Source organism: Homo sapiens, chromosome 13, assembly GCF_000001405.40.
Source record: "Homo sapiens chromosome 13, GRCh38.p14 Primary Assembly".
NCBI lineage: Eukaryota > Metazoa > Chordata > Mammalia > Primates > Hominidae > Homo > Homo sapiens.
This window is the reverse complement of record NC_000013.11, coordinates 24675286-24693400: the sequence shown is the minus strand read 5'-3', so window position 1 is coordinate 24693400 and position 18115 is coordinate 24675286. Positions and strand designations below refer to the sequence as shown.

General features: G+C 50.5%; 1 protein-coding gene across 2 annotated transcripts in view, besides 5 other annotated features; it reads right to left on the bottom strand.

Annotated features, from left to right (window-relative positions):
* ATP12A (ATPase H+/K+ transporting non-gastric alpha2 subunit) overlaps nucleotides 1–12993 on the bottom strand; it is a 32065-nt gene extending 19072 nt beyond the window's left edge. The window contains exons 1-10 of one of the 2 annotated variants that reach the window (NM_001185085.2): nucleotides 12649–12993; nucleotides 11681–11839; nucleotides 8028–8087; nucleotides 4879–5082; nucleotides 4026–4139; nucleotides 2929–3063; nucleotides 2680–2797; nucleotides 2151–2437; nucleotides 774–972; nucleotides 505–614 (exon numbers count right to left, since the gene is read on the bottom strand). In NM_001185085.2, the coding sequence (NP_001172014.1) occupies nucleotides 505–614; nucleotides 774–972; nucleotides 2151–2437; nucleotides 2680–2797; nucleotides 2929–3063; nucleotides 4026–4139; nucleotides 4879–5082; nucleotides 8028–8087; nucleotides 11681–11839; nucleotides 12649–12657 (1395 nt within the window). In that variant the 5' untranslated portion in view covers nucleotides 12658–12993. The remainder of the gene's footprint in view (nucleotides 1–504; nucleotides 615–773; nucleotides 973–2150; nucleotides 2438–2679; nucleotides 2798–2928; nucleotides 3064–4025; nucleotides 4140–4878; nucleotides 5083–8027; nucleotides 8088–11680; nucleotides 11840–12648) is intronic. The other variant, NM_001676.7, reaches the window with a different exon arrangement.
* Nucleotides 9256–9345: a silencer, noted in NCBI's record as "silent region_5180". NCBI's record gives its function as "represses an Ori minimal core promoter by ATAC-STARR-seq in GM12878 lymphoblastoid cells {active_cell/tissue: GM12878}" and the evidence as "EXISTENCE:reporter gene assay evidence [ECO:0000049][PMID:35858748]".
* Nucleotides 9761–10260: an enhancer, noted in NCBI's record as "H3K4me1 hESC enhancer chr13:25257279-25257778 (GRCh37/hg19 assembly coordinates)". NCBI's record gives its function as "activates a minimal SCP1, AML or CMV promoter by ChIP-STARR-seq in primed H9 embryonic stem cells {active_cell/tissue: H9 hESC(primed)}" and the evidence as "EXISTENCE:reporter gene assay evidence [ECO:0000049][PMID:30033119]".
* Nucleotides 10261–10762: an enhancer, noted in NCBI's record as "H3K4me1 hESC enhancer chr13:25256777-25257278 (GRCh37/hg19 assembly coordinates)". NCBI's record gives its function as "activates a minimal SCP1, AML or CMV promoter by ChIP-STARR-seq in primed H9 embryonic stem cells {active_cell/tissue: H9 hESC(primed)}" and the evidence as "EXISTENCE:reporter gene assay evidence [ECO:0000049][PMID:30033119]".
* Nucleotides 10862–11442: an enhancer, noted in NCBI's record as "H3K27ac-H3K4me1 hESC enhancer chr13:25256097-25256677 (GRCh37/hg19 assembly coordinates)". NCBI's record gives its function as "activates a minimal SCP1, AML or CMV promoter by ChIP-STARR-seq in naive H9 embryonic stem cells {active_cell/tissue: H9 hESC(naive)}" and the evidence as "EXISTENCE:reporter gene assay evidence [ECO:0000049][PMID:30033119]".
* Nucleotides 12636–12945: a silencer, noted in NCBI's record as "silent region_5179". NCBI's record gives its function as "represses an Ori minimal core promoter by ATAC-STARR-seq in GM12878 lymphoblastoid cells {active_cell/tissue: GM12878}" and the evidence as "EXISTENCE:reporter gene assay evidence [ECO:0000049][PMID:35858748]".

Here is an 18115-nt window from a genome sequence, read left to right as displayed (position 1 = left end):
CAGGGATTCAGTGACTCATTGAGATGGAGAGGAAAAGGGAGGAAGGGAAGGAGGAGAGGGAGGGAGGGGGAGAGTTTATTGTATGTTCCGATATTCCAGGACCCCTTAGAGCTTTGTCTGCAGCCATATTCTAGTTAACAGGAGTCCTTTTATTTTTATTCAATCACACTTTAAATTTCCATGAATGGTGTGTATATTAAAAGGAACTTTGATTATATCCACTTAGCTGGCAGAAAAGTCAGGAAAGTAACTTAGAAGTGCATTCATTTCCAGAATTTTCTGAAGACGCTAAAGCAATATTCTGAAACCTTTTAAGCATCTTTGTATTCTCAAAGCTAGTGTGCATAAAGAAAAATTTCTGGATGTCTTGTGAGTCTGACTTGCTCTTGCAAGCACTGAACAAACTTTAAGCAACTGGAGAGATGAAATCAAGCACCCAATCAGACCTCAGCAAGTGACTACAAACTGGCTGTGATTTAAGACCAAGTGCTGCAGAAGCATTACCTTCATGATGGGGACATTTTCCTGTCCTGGCTTGAACTCTGCTCGGTTACACAATGTTATTATCTTGGATAAGGAGGCCCAAGTCCTAGAGCTTTGGTCAAAGACTTGGTCTGGAAGACAGAGAAAGAACAGTGGCTGCTGTGGGTTGGGCTGGCCGTCCATGAGTCACTGTCCAGCAATCCTCTGGCTGCAGACCCTGCTGTGTGCTCAGCTCAGCCCCAGGATGGAGTCCACAGCTTTGGCCAGACCGAGCTCTCCATAAGACTTACTTGAATGGTCCTCACTGGTGTCAGCCACAAAGATCTGATTGTCGAACCACAGATGGGCCACTGTCATCCTGTTCTGGGTCAGTGTCCCAGTCTTGTCCGAGCAGATGATGGAGGTGGAGCCGAGGGTCTCCACAGCCTCCAGGTTCTTCACCAGGCAGTTCTTCTTGGCCATCCGTTTTGCTGTCAGCGACAGGGTCACCTAGCAGGAGAGGGAAGGACGCTTTGGGAAAAATCCTCATTTGAACTCAGGTCCAATAATACAGAAATAGCCAATGTGAGCTGTGATTGAATTTTAGGAGAGAGCTGGACTAGTTTTAGGGGAGAGGTGTGGTTGTCAGCGCAGCTAAGCTGACCTGGTGGCTTATACGCCGCCAAGAGCCCTCTATGCCACAATCCTTTTTTAAAGATTAAATATGAGATGCTTTTCTTGTTCCTTCATGACTTGAAGAAAACAAGGGACCCACGGGCAGCAAACACGGACACGCTGCTGTGGCTCGTGTTCACGTACAATCACGACGCCTCCTGTGATCCCTAAGCAGGAGTGTGTAAGAGAGACTGACCAGTGCATGCCAAAGAGTTGTCCCAAAGGACACACTTGTTGCTTTGGGGAATTCAGCAGCCTTTATGTTGTTTCATTTTAAAAGCTCCATATTTTAAAGATTCTTTTAAACCCCTAGATCTCAAAGGGTTCTTTTGGCTCCAATTTCCCCAAATTACTATCTCCTGGAGTCAGAGGAGACCTGGACTTCAAAAACTTCTTCTCTTTTCTTTGGTCAGGACAATAGCAGGCCAATGATCATGTAGTCACAAAACTGGAAACATAAACCCCCTCCTCTCCTACCCCTTGAGACCCCCACAGGAGAGACTGAGGAGGAGGGGGCTCTTCTCTAGGGACTGAATGACATGGGCCCATACAAACAGCTGGGTCTGGGGTTGGCCAGGAAAGGGCTGGAGTCCTCGGCAGGAAAAATGGGAGGAATTTTTTTTTTTCGTAAGAGAGGTAAGTGGAGTGTGGCAATGTGCCTAAATGCCTAAGTTGTAGAAACTGCCAAAGAAATGTGCGGAAGGCATCAAGCTTCTAGAAAACCTGTGAATGGTGGAGTCTGTCTTATCTAGATCTTATGGGGCAGAGTAAGCTGTGTGAATTGCAGATTGAAAGCATAACGTTTTCAAGGAAAACGCAGTCAAATATTGAAAATATGACAAATTTTTTGTCTCTGTAAGGAACAGTCTATGCAGAATGTTCCAGGGTTGTCGCTGGCGGGGAGGGCGTGGTGCTCTGGACTTGGGGGAGATTGCAGTTTGTGTGGGCGCCTCCCCAGCACCAGTGCTGTGTCCACAGGGCCAGGTGCAGGCTGTCTAACAGCATGGACTCACAGTGACAGTGGCCAGGAGGCCCTCGGGCACATTGGCCACAATGATGCCAATGAGGAAGATGATGGAGTCCAGGACTTGATACTTCAGGGACACAGCGATGATGAAGAAAAGGATGCCGATGGAGACAGCCACTCCTGCCACAATGTGAACAAAGTGCTCGATCTCAATGGCAATGGGCGTCTTCTCATTTCCAACTCCTGAGGCCAATGAGGCAATATGGCCAATGATGGTGCGGTCACCCGTGTTGATAACCATGCCGGTGACAGTGCCTACAGGGGAAGTAGATGCTTTATTCCAGGGGTCCTCAGCCAGGAGGGGTGTGCAGCCAGCTTGCAGCCCTCTCTGGGGGCTGGCACAATCGATAGGCACACCACATTCCCAAGGCCAAGCATCGTCCTCTAGGCCCTTCAGTTCCATGCTTCCTCTGGGATGAGCTTTGTAACGGGGTGTGGCAAAGGACAGACCTGAGAGCCCAGGAGGGAGAAAGGACACAGGTGGACATGTGGGCTGAGAGCCAGAGGCCTTTTACCTTCCAGACACGTTGTGGAATAGAAGCAGATGTTCTTTGTTTCCAGGGGGTTTTCATGGGTAAACTCAGAGGAGCGGGGCTGGGGCTCAGACTCCCCCGTGAGAGATGAGTTATCCACCTAGAAGAAATGTTGAAGGTGGTTCACAGCTGGGTACCTCATTCCCTGCCTCTTATACTGATGCTGGGAAAGACCCCAGAGCCAGCAGGTTTGGAACATGGTCCTTGGGGTGGATACCCCTTGCCGCTTACCCGACACCCCTGAGAAGACAGCACCCTGATGTCTGCAGGGATCTGGTCTCCTCCTTTGACCTCCACAATGTCCCCCACCACCAGCTGCTCTGAAGGGATGGTCTTCTTCTCGGAATCTCGGATGACGAGAGCTTGCTGCAGAAAAAAACCATGACAGATGCCTCAGACCCTGGAAGGACACCGGCCCTCCCCCAAGTCTGTGCCGCACCGAACCCCAGGACAGAGGCCTTGGAACTTCCTGATCACTCTCACTGTTGAGTCCATGCTGTTATGCAGCCTGCACCTGGCCCTGTGGACACAGCATTGCTGCTGGAGCATGAGGCTGTCAGAACAGCAAGAATGAAACAGAAGACTGCTTCACCCGAGGCCTGAAGACTCTAAGAACTACTTTTTCTTGAGCTTATGGAGAGTTCTTGGAACAGAAGAGTCGCTGTTGGCCAGATCTGGCCAAGCCAGAGCCCTGGGCCTCCTAGAAAAGGAGACCACTAAGGGTGAGCAATCCTGGCTGGGCGTCTGGGCAGAACACTGAAGGTGGGGCTGGGGAGGCTGATAATCTTGCGAGTGTCAGGGAAATTTTAACGAGGTGATCTCCTGCTTCAAGCTTGGCAGGAGGCGTCTTTTCCACCCAGAATCTCTCCAGCCCACAGTTCTCTGGGCCAGAGACAGTGTGGACACCTGACAGGGGTTTTTGGGGAAGAAGGGAGCACTGGGCTTCCCCACCAAATGCATTCTGGGGCTCAGGAGCAAAAATGGTCACAGATAAACAATTGCAGGCTGGTCTCCTTGGCTGCCAGTGAAAGAACACTCCCTGACCTTCCACAGGTCCCTTCCAGAACCCAGAAGGACTATCCACAAACACTGAGGAGCAGGAACAGAAGATGCCTTGGGCTAACCAGCACTGCCCTGGGTGGTGCCTCATTTGACCATCAAAATCCTGTGAGGAACTGGGGTTCTGACAGATGGGTTAATTCGCCCACGATTGCTCCGACAGGGAAGGAAGTGGAAACCCGTAGCCCTCAGGGCCCTGTGCCCCTCCCAGCTGAGGCTTCCTCACCTGGGAGTCACCAGAGGCCAGAGGATAGGTGGCTGCCACTCACCTGAGGGATCATCTTATTGAAGCTGGACATGATGTTGGTGCTTTTTGCCTCTTGGTAATAAGCAAAGATCCCCGTTAAAATGACCACCAGACCAAGCACACAGCCCAAGTACACCTGGGTGAGAAGGAGGGCGTCAGTCAGAGAAACCAGCAGTGGGAAGCAGCCGGGCCCTGGGGCTAGAGCTCTCCACGGGAGGATGCAATGCTGGCAGTTACGCCCTGGTATAATTTACAGGCCATGGAATTCGCCCATGTTAAGTGCGCAACTTATTGATTTTTTTTTTTAAGTTTACAGAGCCATGACACCACCCTCCACCGCAGCCTCAGAGCATCTCCATCCTGCCTGGAGATCCCTCCGGCCCCTCTGCCGTCACTCCCTGCTCCTGTCCCATGCCCTGGCATCACCGATCTGGTTCCTGCTTCCAAGGATGTGCCTGTTCTGCACATTTCATGTCAATCCAATCCTATGACATGTAGCTTGTTGCCTCTGGCTTCTGTCTCTTGGCATCACGTTGGCCAATTCAGTTTTGTGGATTTGGTACTCATGTCTCGGCAGGCACAGCTGCTCTCCGTGTTAAAGGAAGAGGTTAGCTTGGGGGAGACAGAACCCCAAACTACTTCACATGGATGCAGATTTTCTCCCCCTTAAAAATTCAAGGTGTTTTGTGTATCCCTCTTCATGCCCACACTGCCTCTAGAAGATCAGAAAGCCAGATAGAATTTCTGTTTTACAGCTGGGAAAATGCCTGACTTTCCCACACCTAGGCAGTGGCATTCAGCCCCCAGCTGTGCCCCCAAGGCCTCACTGGATGGCTCTGCCAGCAAAACCAGGAGGGGACACCCCAGAGCCTTACGTTGTTCAGGGATGCAGACTTGTCGCTGGAGTACTGAATCCCATATGCAATCCAACAGAGAAAGGCGCCCACCCACAGGAGGATAGAGAACCCCCCCACCATCTGCTTGAGGAACTTGACGATCTCAGGCGTCTGCTTGGGAGGGGTGAGGGAGTTGGGCCCATCCCGGGCCAGGAGCTCGGCAGCTCTGGTGCTGGAGAGACCCTGGGAAAGCCAAACAAAGCACATGCACAACCAAAACAAATACGAATTAGACATTCCTCCTCCCTCAGGGGTTGGGCTGCATATTTTTGCAGCTTGGGGTGAGGCATTAACGTGGCCAAAGAAGGTCCCGAGAAAAGCAGACCGTGCCTCACTTCTCCAGCTGCCCAGCTTTTTTGAAAGACTATGTAATGCTTAATACCAGCCAGGCACTGTGCTCTGTATATTCACTCATTTAGTCTTTAAAATAACCCTTGAGGCAGGGGCCATTATTCCTCCCTCTCGTCATTCGCAGAGGTGGAATTTGAGGCACAGAGAAATTACGTAACCTGTCGAAGGGACCTGGCCTGTCAATGGTAGCGACCAGGTTCAACGTGGTGACTGGGTCCAGAGCCACTGCACTCTGCTCTGCTAAGGGGTTTTAGTTTCTTAGAGGTTTATCCGGTGAGAGGACTAATTTGATGAAGGAGGACTTGGAATGAAGAAGCTGCTCACCAGGGCTAAGGGCAATGCAGTAACTCCCCAGGAAATAGGGAAGCTTCTGGAATCCTGCACAGAGAGCATGTGGCTTTAGTTTCCATCCTTACGCCTGCTCCTTTTCCACCTTTCTACACATCCAGCCTAAGTTCTCATTCATCTTGACAGGCATAAATCCTACCCAAGCCCTGAGCCCATGTGAGCAGCCCCTGCCCTGGGGGGCCTGCCATCCGTGAGGCACCCTCACCTTTGAAACCCTACATGTTCACAGGAATTTCCCCCACAGACGATCTTTGGTGGACAAGTCTGTAGATACCTCTTCTCCCTAATTATGTTGTAAGCTACTTAAAGGGCAGGACTCTGTCTTGGTCTTTTTTTTTTGAGACAGAGTCTCGCTCTGTTGCCCAAGCTGGAGTGCACTGGTGCGATCTCGTCTCACTGCAACCTCCTCCTCCTGGGTTCAAGCGATTCTCCTGCCTCAGCCTCCCAAATAGCTGGGATTACAGGCAGCGGCCACCACACTTGGCTAATTTTTAAAATATTTTTAGTAGAGACAGGGTTTCACCACGTTGGCCAGGCTGGTTTCGAACTCCTGACCTCAAGTGATCTGCCCACCTTGGCCTCCCAAAGTGCTATGATTACAGACCTAAGCCACCATGACAGGCCAGTCTTGGTCATTTTTGTGTTCTCTCCCGGGTCTCATGCTTTTTCTGTGGTAGTGATTCAAATATCTGTTGAATGGCTAGATTCAGGCTCACCACCTCGATCCCATCTCCCTCCACTCCAATTCCTTTTCCAGAACCCCAGACTCATCTTTCTGAATAACTGTGGAACATTTCCTCAGGGGTGTTCCGGAGAGACTTCTCCTGGTATAACTCACAATAAGTTCATCATCGCCTCCACCCTCCTGCCTTCCCTGCTCTCACCTCCCTGCCCCCACCCCAGCCCATCACCCGACCGGCTCTCCTCCTCCTGCTGCTGTGACATGACTAGCGAGATGAGGGGCTCAATAAAAATCCCCGCAAGTCCTGCTGGTTGTGTCTCTCTGCAATTTCTTTCTTTCTTTCCTTCCTTCCTTCCTTCTTTCTTTCTTTCCTTCTTTTCTTTCGACAGAGTCTCGCTCTGTCGCCCAGGCTGGAGGGCAGTGGCGCGATCTCCGCTCACTGCAAGCTCCGCCTCCCAGGTTCACGCCATTCTCCTGCCTCAGCCTCCCGAGTAGCTGGGACTACAGGCGCCCGCCACCGTGCCCGACTAATTTTTGTATTTTTAGTAGAGACGGGGTTTCACCGTGTTAGCCAGGATGGTCTCGATCTCCTGACCTCGTGATCCGCCCGTCTTGGCCTCCTAAAGTGCTGGGATTACAGGCGTGAGCCACCACGCCCGGCCCTTTTTTTTTTTTTTTTTGAGATGGAGTTTTGCTCTTGTTGCCCAGGCTGGAGTGCAATGGCATGATCTTGGCTCACCGCAACCTCTGCCTCCTGGGTTTCAGAGATTCTCCTGCCTCAGCCTCCTGAGTAGCTGAGATTACAGGCATGTGCCACCACGCCCTGCCAATTGTTTGTATTTTTAGTAGAAACGGGGTTTCACTATGTTGGTCAGGCTGGTCTCAAACTCCCGACCTCAGGTGATCTGCCCACCTCAGTCTCCCAAAGTGCTGGGATTACAGGCCTGAGCCACCACGTCTGGCCCCTGTAATGTCTTTCGACATTATTTCAGATCCTCATTTCACAGTCCTGGGCTGTTGTTCCATTCTTCTAGACCCTTCCATTTCTCACTTTAAAAAAAGAATCTTCTATGAGAACTGCCTTTTGAAAACCAATGAAAGCACCTCCATGTGTGGAAACCATGTCCCTTCTGCCTCTAAGACAGCTCCTACTCATTAGTTTAATGTGAATACTTTGACAGCTTCACCCAGATGACCTTCCTGGCTTCATTCCTGCTGCACCTGTCCCCTCTCCACACATACTAGCTTCCGGCAAGCCCAGATTCTCTCCAAGCAGGCTCTGTGCTTACTGGCCCTGGGGTCCCCCACCAGCTTAAATCCGAAGCATTTTGAGTCCCAGCGCAAACATGGCAGCAGCCCGAGAGCTGGCTCTGGCCCCTTCCATCAGAATCCACCTTTGTCCCAGCATAGCGTTTCTACTTCTTGTAGCCATCCCAGGGGGATAGAGTGAATCTCAGGACACTTCCATACACATTTGCCTCCCCTACCCGGCCACTTTCTCCTTGAGGCCAGGGGTCATCTGTCCCTCTTGGTCCCTCTCACTGCCAGGCCAGTGTGAGCCCCACAGTAGGTTTTTCTGTTGACTTGAACTGTGTCCAGATGCAAATAACTGCAGTCTCAAAGGCGCTGCAGGGGCCCCTCCTCCTAAAGGTGCCGCTACTCTTCCACACAGCCCCCCGCCACACACAGCCTTCCCTCTGTAGAGTTGGGAGGCTTCTCTTCCAAATCCCTGGTTCCCACGACTCACCATAATGATGTCTGTGCCATATTTCTCTTCCAATTCCCTATTGCTGAGTTTGTGGTCATCCTGAAGTCCATGAAAGGAAGAACAGAGTGAATTAGATAATTCCAAAAGACTCAAGCCCCAAGCTTTGACCAGCCATGGAAGCTGGGAGTAGCAGCCCTGAGGATGGGAGGGGATCGAGGAGTGTGGGGGACAGGAGAGAAAGAACCCCTGTGCCAGGCAGCTGCCCAGCGAAGGATGGCACTGCCTCAGGAGTGACTGTCCCTGAGTCGGCACAATCCTGCACTTGCTGTTACTACCCAGAAGCTGCCTGCAGCTTTTCTGAACAAAGCCATGCACCTCGCTTCAATCTGAACTCCAGGGCATACAGGTTCTGGCACCCTCATCTTCCAGGTGCCAGTGAGCTGGAGGCTTCCCTCAGGCCTGAACCCTGGGATTGGCTGGGGCTGATGGCAAAACCACACTAGAACCGCTTCCTGGGCTGGCACAACTCCTCCTCCTTCGCTGTGTGGGCTCTGGCAGGGAAAAGCAGCTTCCCTCACTCAAGCTGTGACGCTCAGGGAGCTCACTGGGCAGAGAAACCCTGCAGGGAAAAGTTCTGCTGAATAAACCCACAGCATTGTGGCTGCCACTTGTGAATTCTGCTACAGAATCATTAGACTACAGCAGGGTTTCTCACCCGTGGCCCTGCTGCCATTCTGGGAGAATAATTCTTTGTTGTGGGCTCCACCCACTAACATCCTCCCCTCAGTTGTGGTAACCAAAAATGTTTCCATTTTTCCCCTGGGAGAGGGGTGGGGGAATCCTCTTCTCCTCTCCCTTTGAGAACCACTGGGCTAAAGGACAAGAAGTCTCTTCCTGTAGCAGAAAACCTAGGGTAAGTCTTCCTCACTCCCCCTAGAAAGTCCAGCACTCAGGATTTTTTAAACCCTGATTGTCTGAAACAAAGATTGATACTGTTGACTGGTGCTCACATCATCTCTTTTCTTAAGTATATGCAAAAAATAGTTCCATGTTGCAGTAAGAGACTAGGCCTTCCAATAAAGCAGAATTCATTATTATCATTATTATCTTGCTTCTAGCCCTCTTCTCAGCCAGATTCTGTTTTGCTCCTTCATCCCTTCTACTAATACTGATTGAGTGTGATATTGCTGGGGATTCAGAAGATTAAGGCTGTGTTCTGCACAGAGCACAGCACAACCCACTAAGTTTTGGGCAGATACAAGTAGTGGATGATCCGAGCCATTGTTTGCATGCATGGGACCTCAGACTTCCTGGGCTGGGGGATGAGAGCATGGGGGAGGGGTGGGACGAGGTGGTGGTGGTTATCTGGGGTGCCCTCTGCTGGCCAGCACTGGACTAGCACAGGGCAGCACCCCACCCACCCCTCGGGTCACTGCCTGGCCCTTTCATTCAAAGGCCGGGATACTTCAGTTGTCATTAGGCACTAATTTGCCAAGAAAGGTTGGGAGGCAAAAGCATTCAATATGCTGCTGAAAATTACAGGACCCTTGTAATGTCAAGGGAAAAACAGATATGTCTTCAATCTTAAATGCTAGAGATAATGGGAAATAATAAGAACGATCTATCGTCTGGTGCTGTGCTGTCTTTTCCCTGTTTTATCTCATTTAATCTTCCTAGTAACCCTTAAGAGGTAGAAAAAAAAATCTTATGTTTTTCAAAATAGGAAACTGAACTTCAGTTACACTGGGATTTGAATTGAGGTCAGTCCAGTTTCAGGGAAGCGTTCTTAAATGTCTCTCATGATAGATACGGACAAATGCCCAGTGGTATACTGTTAAATGTTTAACAAACTCTCCAGGAACGATCAATACAAAGCTCGGATTTGTAGAGTTTGCTGATTTCTCACTAGAACCAAGTTTGAAGCTGCTAACAGGATGTCAGTCAGCCTGCCAAGTTTCTGAATACTTAACAAATGGCTCTCTAGCACAAAAGAGACTCCCCTCAGGAGTCACAGAGCTTTAAGATCTGCCAAGGACGGTGGGGACAATCCAGCCCATCTCAAGCTCCGTGTAGAAGTTTCCCCTTCGGTGTTCCCAAGATAAAATCTGTCACATTTCAGACCCAAGGCAGTTTTATTATTAAAGTGGCCAGTTTGGGCTGGACACAGTGGCTCACGCCTGTAATCCCAGCACTTTGGGAAGCTGAGGCGGGTGGATCATCTGAGGTCAGGAGTTCGAGAGCAGCCTGGCCAACATGGGGAAACCCCGTCTCTACTAAAAACAACAAAAATTAGCTGGGTGTGATGGCGGGCGCCTGTAATCCCAGTGACTCGGGAGGCCGAGGCAAGAGAATCGCTTGAACCCAGGAGGTGGAGGTTGCAGTGAGCCTAGATAGCGCCATTGCACTCCAGCCTGGGCAACAAGAGCGAAACTCTGTCTCAAAAAAAAAAAAAAGGCTAGTTTTAATAACTCCAGAGCTCTTCCTTAATAATAATAATATTGTACTCCCCTAAAGCACGTGAATTACAAAATCCTCATCTCATTTTTTCCCCTCATAGACCCCAGCAAATTATTTATTTCCCATTTTACATAAAGGAAATGGACCTTCAGTGAGGGTCAGTCATTTGTTGCCAGTTTCAGCTCAGTGGAGAAGTGGGACTCTGATGGGGCCCGAGGTCCTCCCAATCCAAGCTCCACATTTTTACCACTGAAACTGCTTTTCCATGAGGTTTCACACCTGCAATCTAGCATGGCCTAGGGGCTTTGGTTTTCCTCCTCAGAAGTTCCAGCTCAAATAGTTTTACTAATCAATTGAAAACTGGCAAGTGGTTACTTAACTCTCACTGAAGCAGCTGCGGGGAGAGAGGTCTGGCCATGCCTGTGGGGCCTGGAATCAGAGGCTCTTCCTTCTGAGTTCTACAGGGACTGCCTCCAACCAGAATGCAGGAATCCTGCAGAGGCCCTGACCTCTGGGTGGATACTATCACACCATTCAAAACACACACACACACATACACACACCACACACCACACACACACCACACACCACACATATACACCACACACTACACACACACCACACGCTACACACACACCACACATACCATGCACATACACACACCACACATACACACCACACACTACACACACACCACACGCTACACACACACCACACATACCATGCACATACACACACCACACACACCACACACATATATACCACACACATACACACACCACACACATACACACACCACACACACACCACACACATATACACACCACACACACACACCACACACACATCACACACACATCACACACACCACACATACACACACCATACACACACACCATACACACACACCACACACATACACACACCACACACTACACACACCATATACACACACCACACACCATACACACACACCACACACCATACACCACACACCACACATACACACACACACCACACACTACACAGACACACCACACATACACACACACCACACATACACCACACACACACACCACACAGACACACCACGCAGACACCACACACCACACACAATCTCAAGGGGATTTCAAATCCCTCAGACTGAATGTCTGTGGTAAGAGGTGGGTTCTAGGGGCAAGCTCTTGCGGGGAAGGGCCATAGCCGGCAGGACCCCGTGGCTTAAGGCTACTGACCAGATGGAGTTCTTTCTGAAACTCCTCTTTGTGATTTTTCTTTTTGAGTTCCAGGCAGTTGTTCTTCAGACCCCTATACTTCTCCTTGCCATCCCCCTTGTCTGTTTTCACGATGTCCTTAGTTCCGCTGAGCTCCACGGAGTAAATTTCTGGGGTTTTCTGAAAGAGAAGCCCAGGTGCAATATTGGCCCCAAATGGGGTTTCCGAAGAGGTGCTGAGCGCCCCTCTGCGGGGTCAGGACCTGCAGGAGTCAGGAGCCCCTTCTCCCTTTCCTTCCCTCCTCTGGGGAGGCCGGAGGGAGTCGGACAGTGGAGTCTCTCCCCCACCTCCCGCCGACCTTGGCTTCCTCTCCGTCCGTGTAGAGGGGAGGCGGGGTGGGCACAGGCCAGCCAGCAGCTCCTCAGGGTGACCCTTCTCTGGGTGGAGCAGGTGGGAAGTTACCCCCCCAACTCCTGACTGATGCCTCCAAGGAGCTGTGAGGTTTCCTTAGAACCTCGAGGTTCCTTAGGCACCTCGAGGTTTCCTCTGAGGTGTCCTTCCCAGGGGACACAACAGCTGTGCGTCCTGTTTCTTGGGGAGGAGGCACCCACTAAGCTTACGACCCTCAGTCCTGATCAGGGGGCCCTAACCGGAAGTCTTTTCAGACCGCAACGAATCCATGTCACCCCATCCTCCGAGTCGGAGCCCGCAGGTGCCATGGAGCTGGCCTAGGACCCCTTGGCCCCTTCTCGCTCCTCTGGACTGGCTTCTTTCCCCAGCCAGCCCCGGCGGCCGCACGGAGCCGTGGCGGGGAGTCAGAGAAGCGGTGCCCAGGCCGGGGGGCGCTCAGAGGAAAGGCGGCCTCCCCTTGCCCCGGGACGGGGCGTTTCTCCTCTTCGCCTTTTCCTCGCTTCCCGTCAGCCTGCTCCGGTCCCCGGGGCCTTGGCCCAGCGTCTCGCATCCTCGGCCGGCGCGGGGGCTGCACGCACCTGGTGCATGCTGGGCTGGTGGCGCCGCGGGCTGCGGGCGTGGAGCGCGGATCCGGGACCGCAGCGGCGGAGCGCACGGTGGGGGGCCTCGTGTGGCTGTGGCAGTGGCAGTGGCTGAGGTGTTGGCGGTGGAGATACCGGCGGCGGCGCGGGCCCTGCACGCACCTCCGCGGCCGATCGCCAGCCGCTGCACCGGGGAGGTGGCACCAGCCTTAAATGCCGCCCGCCCCGCCCACGTCCCCGCCAGGGCGCAGGCCAGCGGACGCCTCGGAGGGTAGGAAACCCGCCGGCGCGCGCGCAGGGAGGGGGACCGACAGCTAGGGGTCGGGAGAGTCCAGGATTGAGGACCCCCTGGGAATCCCCTTCCCTTTAGTAGCCGAACGCCAGGGGGCGGGGTCTCTAGGGGGCGGGTCCGGCATCCAGGTGAGTACAGCCCTGGTTCCGCTGGGCGCCCAGAGCCGGACCAGCTGCTCCGGCGAGCTCCCGGCACGCCCACGTCCTGTCCAGGCTTCCCTGAAAACCCACACATGCCTTTTTTTAAAAATGTAATTTGCCTACCAATAAATCAATTTATAAAAATGTGTATGCAGAGAAGGGGAAATTGCAGTTTCTAACAGCAACTACTGTTGGAGATGTCCCGGCTAGAAAAGGCCAATGTGTTTTTGAGAATGGATTTAGATAGGTAAATTCAAGCTTCCGAGAGAATTTGGGAATAACTGAGAGACTCTGAAGAGTAGCTGAATTAATTTGCCGGATCCAGATAAGAATTTGGAATTCTGAAACAATTTGGAGAGGGAATGGGGAGGAGAGATGAGAGGATTAGGGTCGGTGAGACCACAGGAACCTGGGGCCCCAGGCTGCGGGTGCGCAGGAGCGGAGGCTGTTGGCTGGACTGGGCTGGAGAGGTCTGTCTCCACCTATTTATGTCACTCCCAGCTGAGACTCTATACATGAAGGAGAAAAGAATTTCTGACCCTGAAAGTTGATGTGCATACTAAAGCAGTGGTTGTTTTATACTGCTAAGTTTGGGTTGGTTTGTTATGCAGCAATAGATAACTGGGACATGCTCCATGCTCTTAGTGCCCAGCATGAGTTTTTGCACAGGATAGAAAAGGTATTTTCCCCCTGACACTTGAAACATAATTACTCCAGATGAGAAAGATAGCCTGAAAACAATATATCAGAGAGATATTTAGCAGTTAACAGTGGAGGAAATCAAACACGTTCTTTTAAAAGAATGAATCGTGAAGTCTTAAAGTCAGTGAAGAATATTAATTAATGGAGAGGAACATAAAAAATAAAACCCACGAATAGAGTTTAGTAATCAGCACCTATTTAGAAGAACAATAAGAAATTGACATGATTGAAATATATGAAAGGGAGTAGAGATAAGTTTCAAAAGAGGGGGCACTTTATTGGGCCCTTGATGCTCTGCTAATAAGTTTCCATTTAGATAAGGACTAATAGGAGGGTGCTAAGTTTTATTCTTTTTGAAAGTTATATATCAAATATGGTAAGAAAGATTGTCATTTTGACCATATTTAAAATGACTAAGAGTGAGGAGTCCAGAGAAGCAGCAAAAGTAACAATCCCATCATGCAGTGACTAGAACATCTGGCAGAAAACATGAAGAGCATTGGGTACATTTAGAAAAGGTAGAAGAAAAACAATAAGCTTGTGCCCGGCCGGGCGCGGTGGCTCACGCCTGTAATCCCAACGCTTTGGGAGGCCGAGGCGGGCGGATCACGAAGTCAGGAGATCGAGACCATCCTGGCTAACACGGTGAAACCCCATCTCTACTAAAAATACAAAACAATTAGCCGGGCATGGTGGTGGGCGCCTGTAGTCCCAGCTGCTCGGGAGGCTGAGGCAGGAGAATGGCATGAACCCGGGAGACGGTGGAGCTTTCAGTGAGTGGAGATCGCGCCACTGCACTCCAGCCTGGGCGACAGAGCGAGACTCTGTCACAATAAAAAAATTAAAAAAAAAATAAGAAAAAAAAGCTTGTGCCCAATTCTAATTAGGAATTAATTATAACTTCCTGTTCCTTTCAGATGCTAAATTTCCATAATAATTTCAGAGCATGACTATAGTTGGTGGTGAGGGACAATTGGGAAAAGAAGCTTATTTTGAGGGAATTTGAAGTGTTAGCAGTTAGAGACGTGGTTTTGTAAAGTAGCAGTAGAGACAAAGATACTTTCTCATGGCATATTTGTGATCTTAGATTTTCCACACCTCTCTGTTCATCATGGCTTTCAAATGAGACTAAGGGAATGTGTTGTACCCGACATAGTGAACTGTCTCCATAGTGCTGCACACATAGGTCTTTCCCCGCTCTCCCTCCTTCTTCCGTTCCAAAAGGGCAGAATCTGAAGCCTGGGTTCCTCCCTCTGTGAAGCAAGGATGACAGCAATGAGTCACTTCTTAACTAAAATGATAAGGGACAGGAAGACTCCTAGTGGCATCTGGTGTAAAGATACACATCATGGATTCTCTAGAGTTGGAGGGAACATTAAATTCTAGTCCAAACCCAAGCAACAGTGTGCTTCTGGGGAGCTCTGGGTTCCATTCTTGGAATACTCTTCAAAGGAAAGGTTTGCAGATGGGGTGAGAAATACAAAATGTGTACGAAACTGATGTTCCACTGTCTGCTGATAATCCAAGCTAAGGGTTTTTTGGGAACAGGTGGCTGCTGCTCACCTTAAGCTGTTCCAGCCCCTGCTCCAACTATTGGGACAGATGTAGAATAGAGAAGCAGGGTCCGCAGAGAGATGTCTCTGAGCTCAAGGCCAGTTCAAGCTCCAAAAGCAAACTCAGATCCTAGGGACTTGACTGAGGGATGGGGAGCGGGGAGGGGAAGTGGGCTAAAAAGAGATGGTGACACAGCTTTAGAAAGTACTAACTGATGGCACCCTCCCTTGATCCTTGGAGAAGATTGCCGCTTTTTTTTTTTTCTTAAGACGGTCTTGCTCTGTTGCCCAGGATGGAGTGCAGTGTGATTACAGCTCACTGCAACTTCCGCCTCCTGGGCTCAAGCCATTCTCCCACCTCAGCCTCCTGAGTAGCTGGGACTACAGGCACAGCTAATTTTTGTGGTTTTTTTTGGTACAGAAGGGATTTCACCATGTTGCCCAGGCGGGCCTCCAACTCCTGGGCTCAAGCGATCCGCTCACCTCTGCCCCAGAAATACTGGGATTACAGGTGTGAGCCATTGAGCCCAAGATTGCTGCTTATTCCTTTTGGTATCAAGGGTGGAAGACGGTTTATTACTACAAGCAGGACAAAAACATTTCCATGGTCAGGTTCTCTGGCACCTCTCTGATCCTGCAGAGTTCTTGGCTTCTGCCAGGGACTAGTCTCAGCTGTCACTGCTATGGCCCTTGTGGCAGCCTCTGGTGCCATTCAGGTGTCCTGGAGTGTTGACTTCTACCAAAGAAGGAAAATGGGGCCATTCCCCAACCCTAACTCCAGAATCGTGTCCTTTGCTGCCTCTAGTCATCTGGATACCCGACTCTGCCTTGAGGTGGGTAGGCCCTGGGTAACTGTGATGCAGGCATCTGGAGGCACTTACCTGTAGAATCAGGAATTGGATTTCTCCTGAGACACGTTCGGTCCCAGGGCCATCACCCACAATGTTCTGAGCAATGTACCCTGATCCCACCCAGTGCAAATGGCTCCTAGAGGGTTGGCCATAGAGGCCAGGCTGCAGCCGGGAGACTTCCTCAGCCCACATGTGCTAGTAGCAGCTTCTGCTTGAGGTTTTGCTGCTTTTCAAAACAAGCCTATCCACGCCAAGGTTCTCTATTATACCTGCTCATATTGACGAACATTATATATTTGGGATAGGATGTCATGATATATGTATTTTCAGCCTGTTTTAATTAAATTATATACTTCATGTATTTAAGCTGTACTAGATATAGGGGTGGTGGGGAGATATGGTACTAAAATCATGCCATCCTCTGCCCTCTAGGAAGTTGGACTTGAGTTGGAGAGACCAAATTAGTGAAGAACCAATAGTAAACGGGCCAAAAGGGAAAATAATTTAGCACTAACTGGTATGGGCTCTAAGTGCCTTCAGAGTTTAGAGGAAAGAGGTTTCTCTGGGGGAAATGGCATAACTTGTACTACTTAGGATTAGTTATTCAGATTTTTTTCCATCCCTTTGCACCCGCCAAGAAAGTGGGGAGAGAGTCTGGGAGAGCAGCTGAGTTGGGGCCTTGTGTGTGTGGCTTCCCTTGGGGACCCCAGGAGGTCCCTCCTGTGCGCAGGCTGGCCACCAGCTGGCTCAAAGAGGTGTGACTGTGAGGATCCCCACACGGAGCGGGAGGATCCAGATGACAATGGGAAGAGGAAGCTCCACTTCCTGCTTTGCGTCCGACTGGCCTGTCCCTCTGCTGCCCACTCGGCCTCTCCCTGTCCCTGGATTCCTCTCCTACACATGGGACAGTCCCCACCTGGAGCCCTCCCTACGCACCTGTATCCAGTCAGCACGACTGGCTGTGACTCGGCCAGTGTTCCTCTCCCGACGAGAGGAGGGCCGCCTGGGGTTGGAGCCAGGATGAAAAAACAAAACAAAGCTTCAGGCAAGCACGCTTCCACACTGTGTCCTCATTTCTTCATGCACAGGAAATCCTGAGATTGGCATATGAACATCCTCCAGAAAAGAAATACTGGCTTTTCAGAAATTAGCAAGTCAGCTCCAGTGATGATCCTGCCTGGAGCTGTAAACACCATGACTGATGGGAATCAGCAGTGGCGTTTCCAGAAGCAGGTGCGGGCCTGTGAGGGGCTCAGACAGGCACACCTTCTCCTTCTGTGGGTACAGCTCCCCCGAAATGTCACAATGGCTGGGGTACTTTAGGTTCCCACAGTTTTCATTCCCTGTGACTTATGTTGTGTAATAAGATGCTTTTTATTATATTTAAAGTGTACAACATGATATTTTGATATACTTATGCACAGTGAGATAGTTATGATTATCAAGCAAATTCTCATATCCATCCCCTCCCACAGTTACCCTCTGTGTGTGGGGTGGCGGGGAGAGGGCCTGTGTGATAGGAGCATGGAAAATCTACTCTGTGCACATTTCCTGGATCTAATACAATGTTGCCACTATAGGGCTCATGCTGGGCCTCGGATCTCTAGACTTCTCACCCCACATATCTGCGGCTTTGGGTCCTTTGCCCTACATCTCTCCATTCCCCCAAGTCCCCCATAATGAGATGCTTTTTCAGAAAATTACCATTTTCCATTTAATAGGTGATTGAAAAACAAACTTCATTCTGAGTTTTTTGATTTTTGTTTTTCAATCTTAGAATGAAAACAGGTTCACCCCATGTGAATCATCTCCACTTTTATCATAGAAAGTTGTAACACATATAAGCCCGGGCGAGGTGGCTCACGCTTGTAATCCCAGCACTTTGGGAGGCCGAGGCAGGTGGATCATGAGGACAAGAGATGGAGA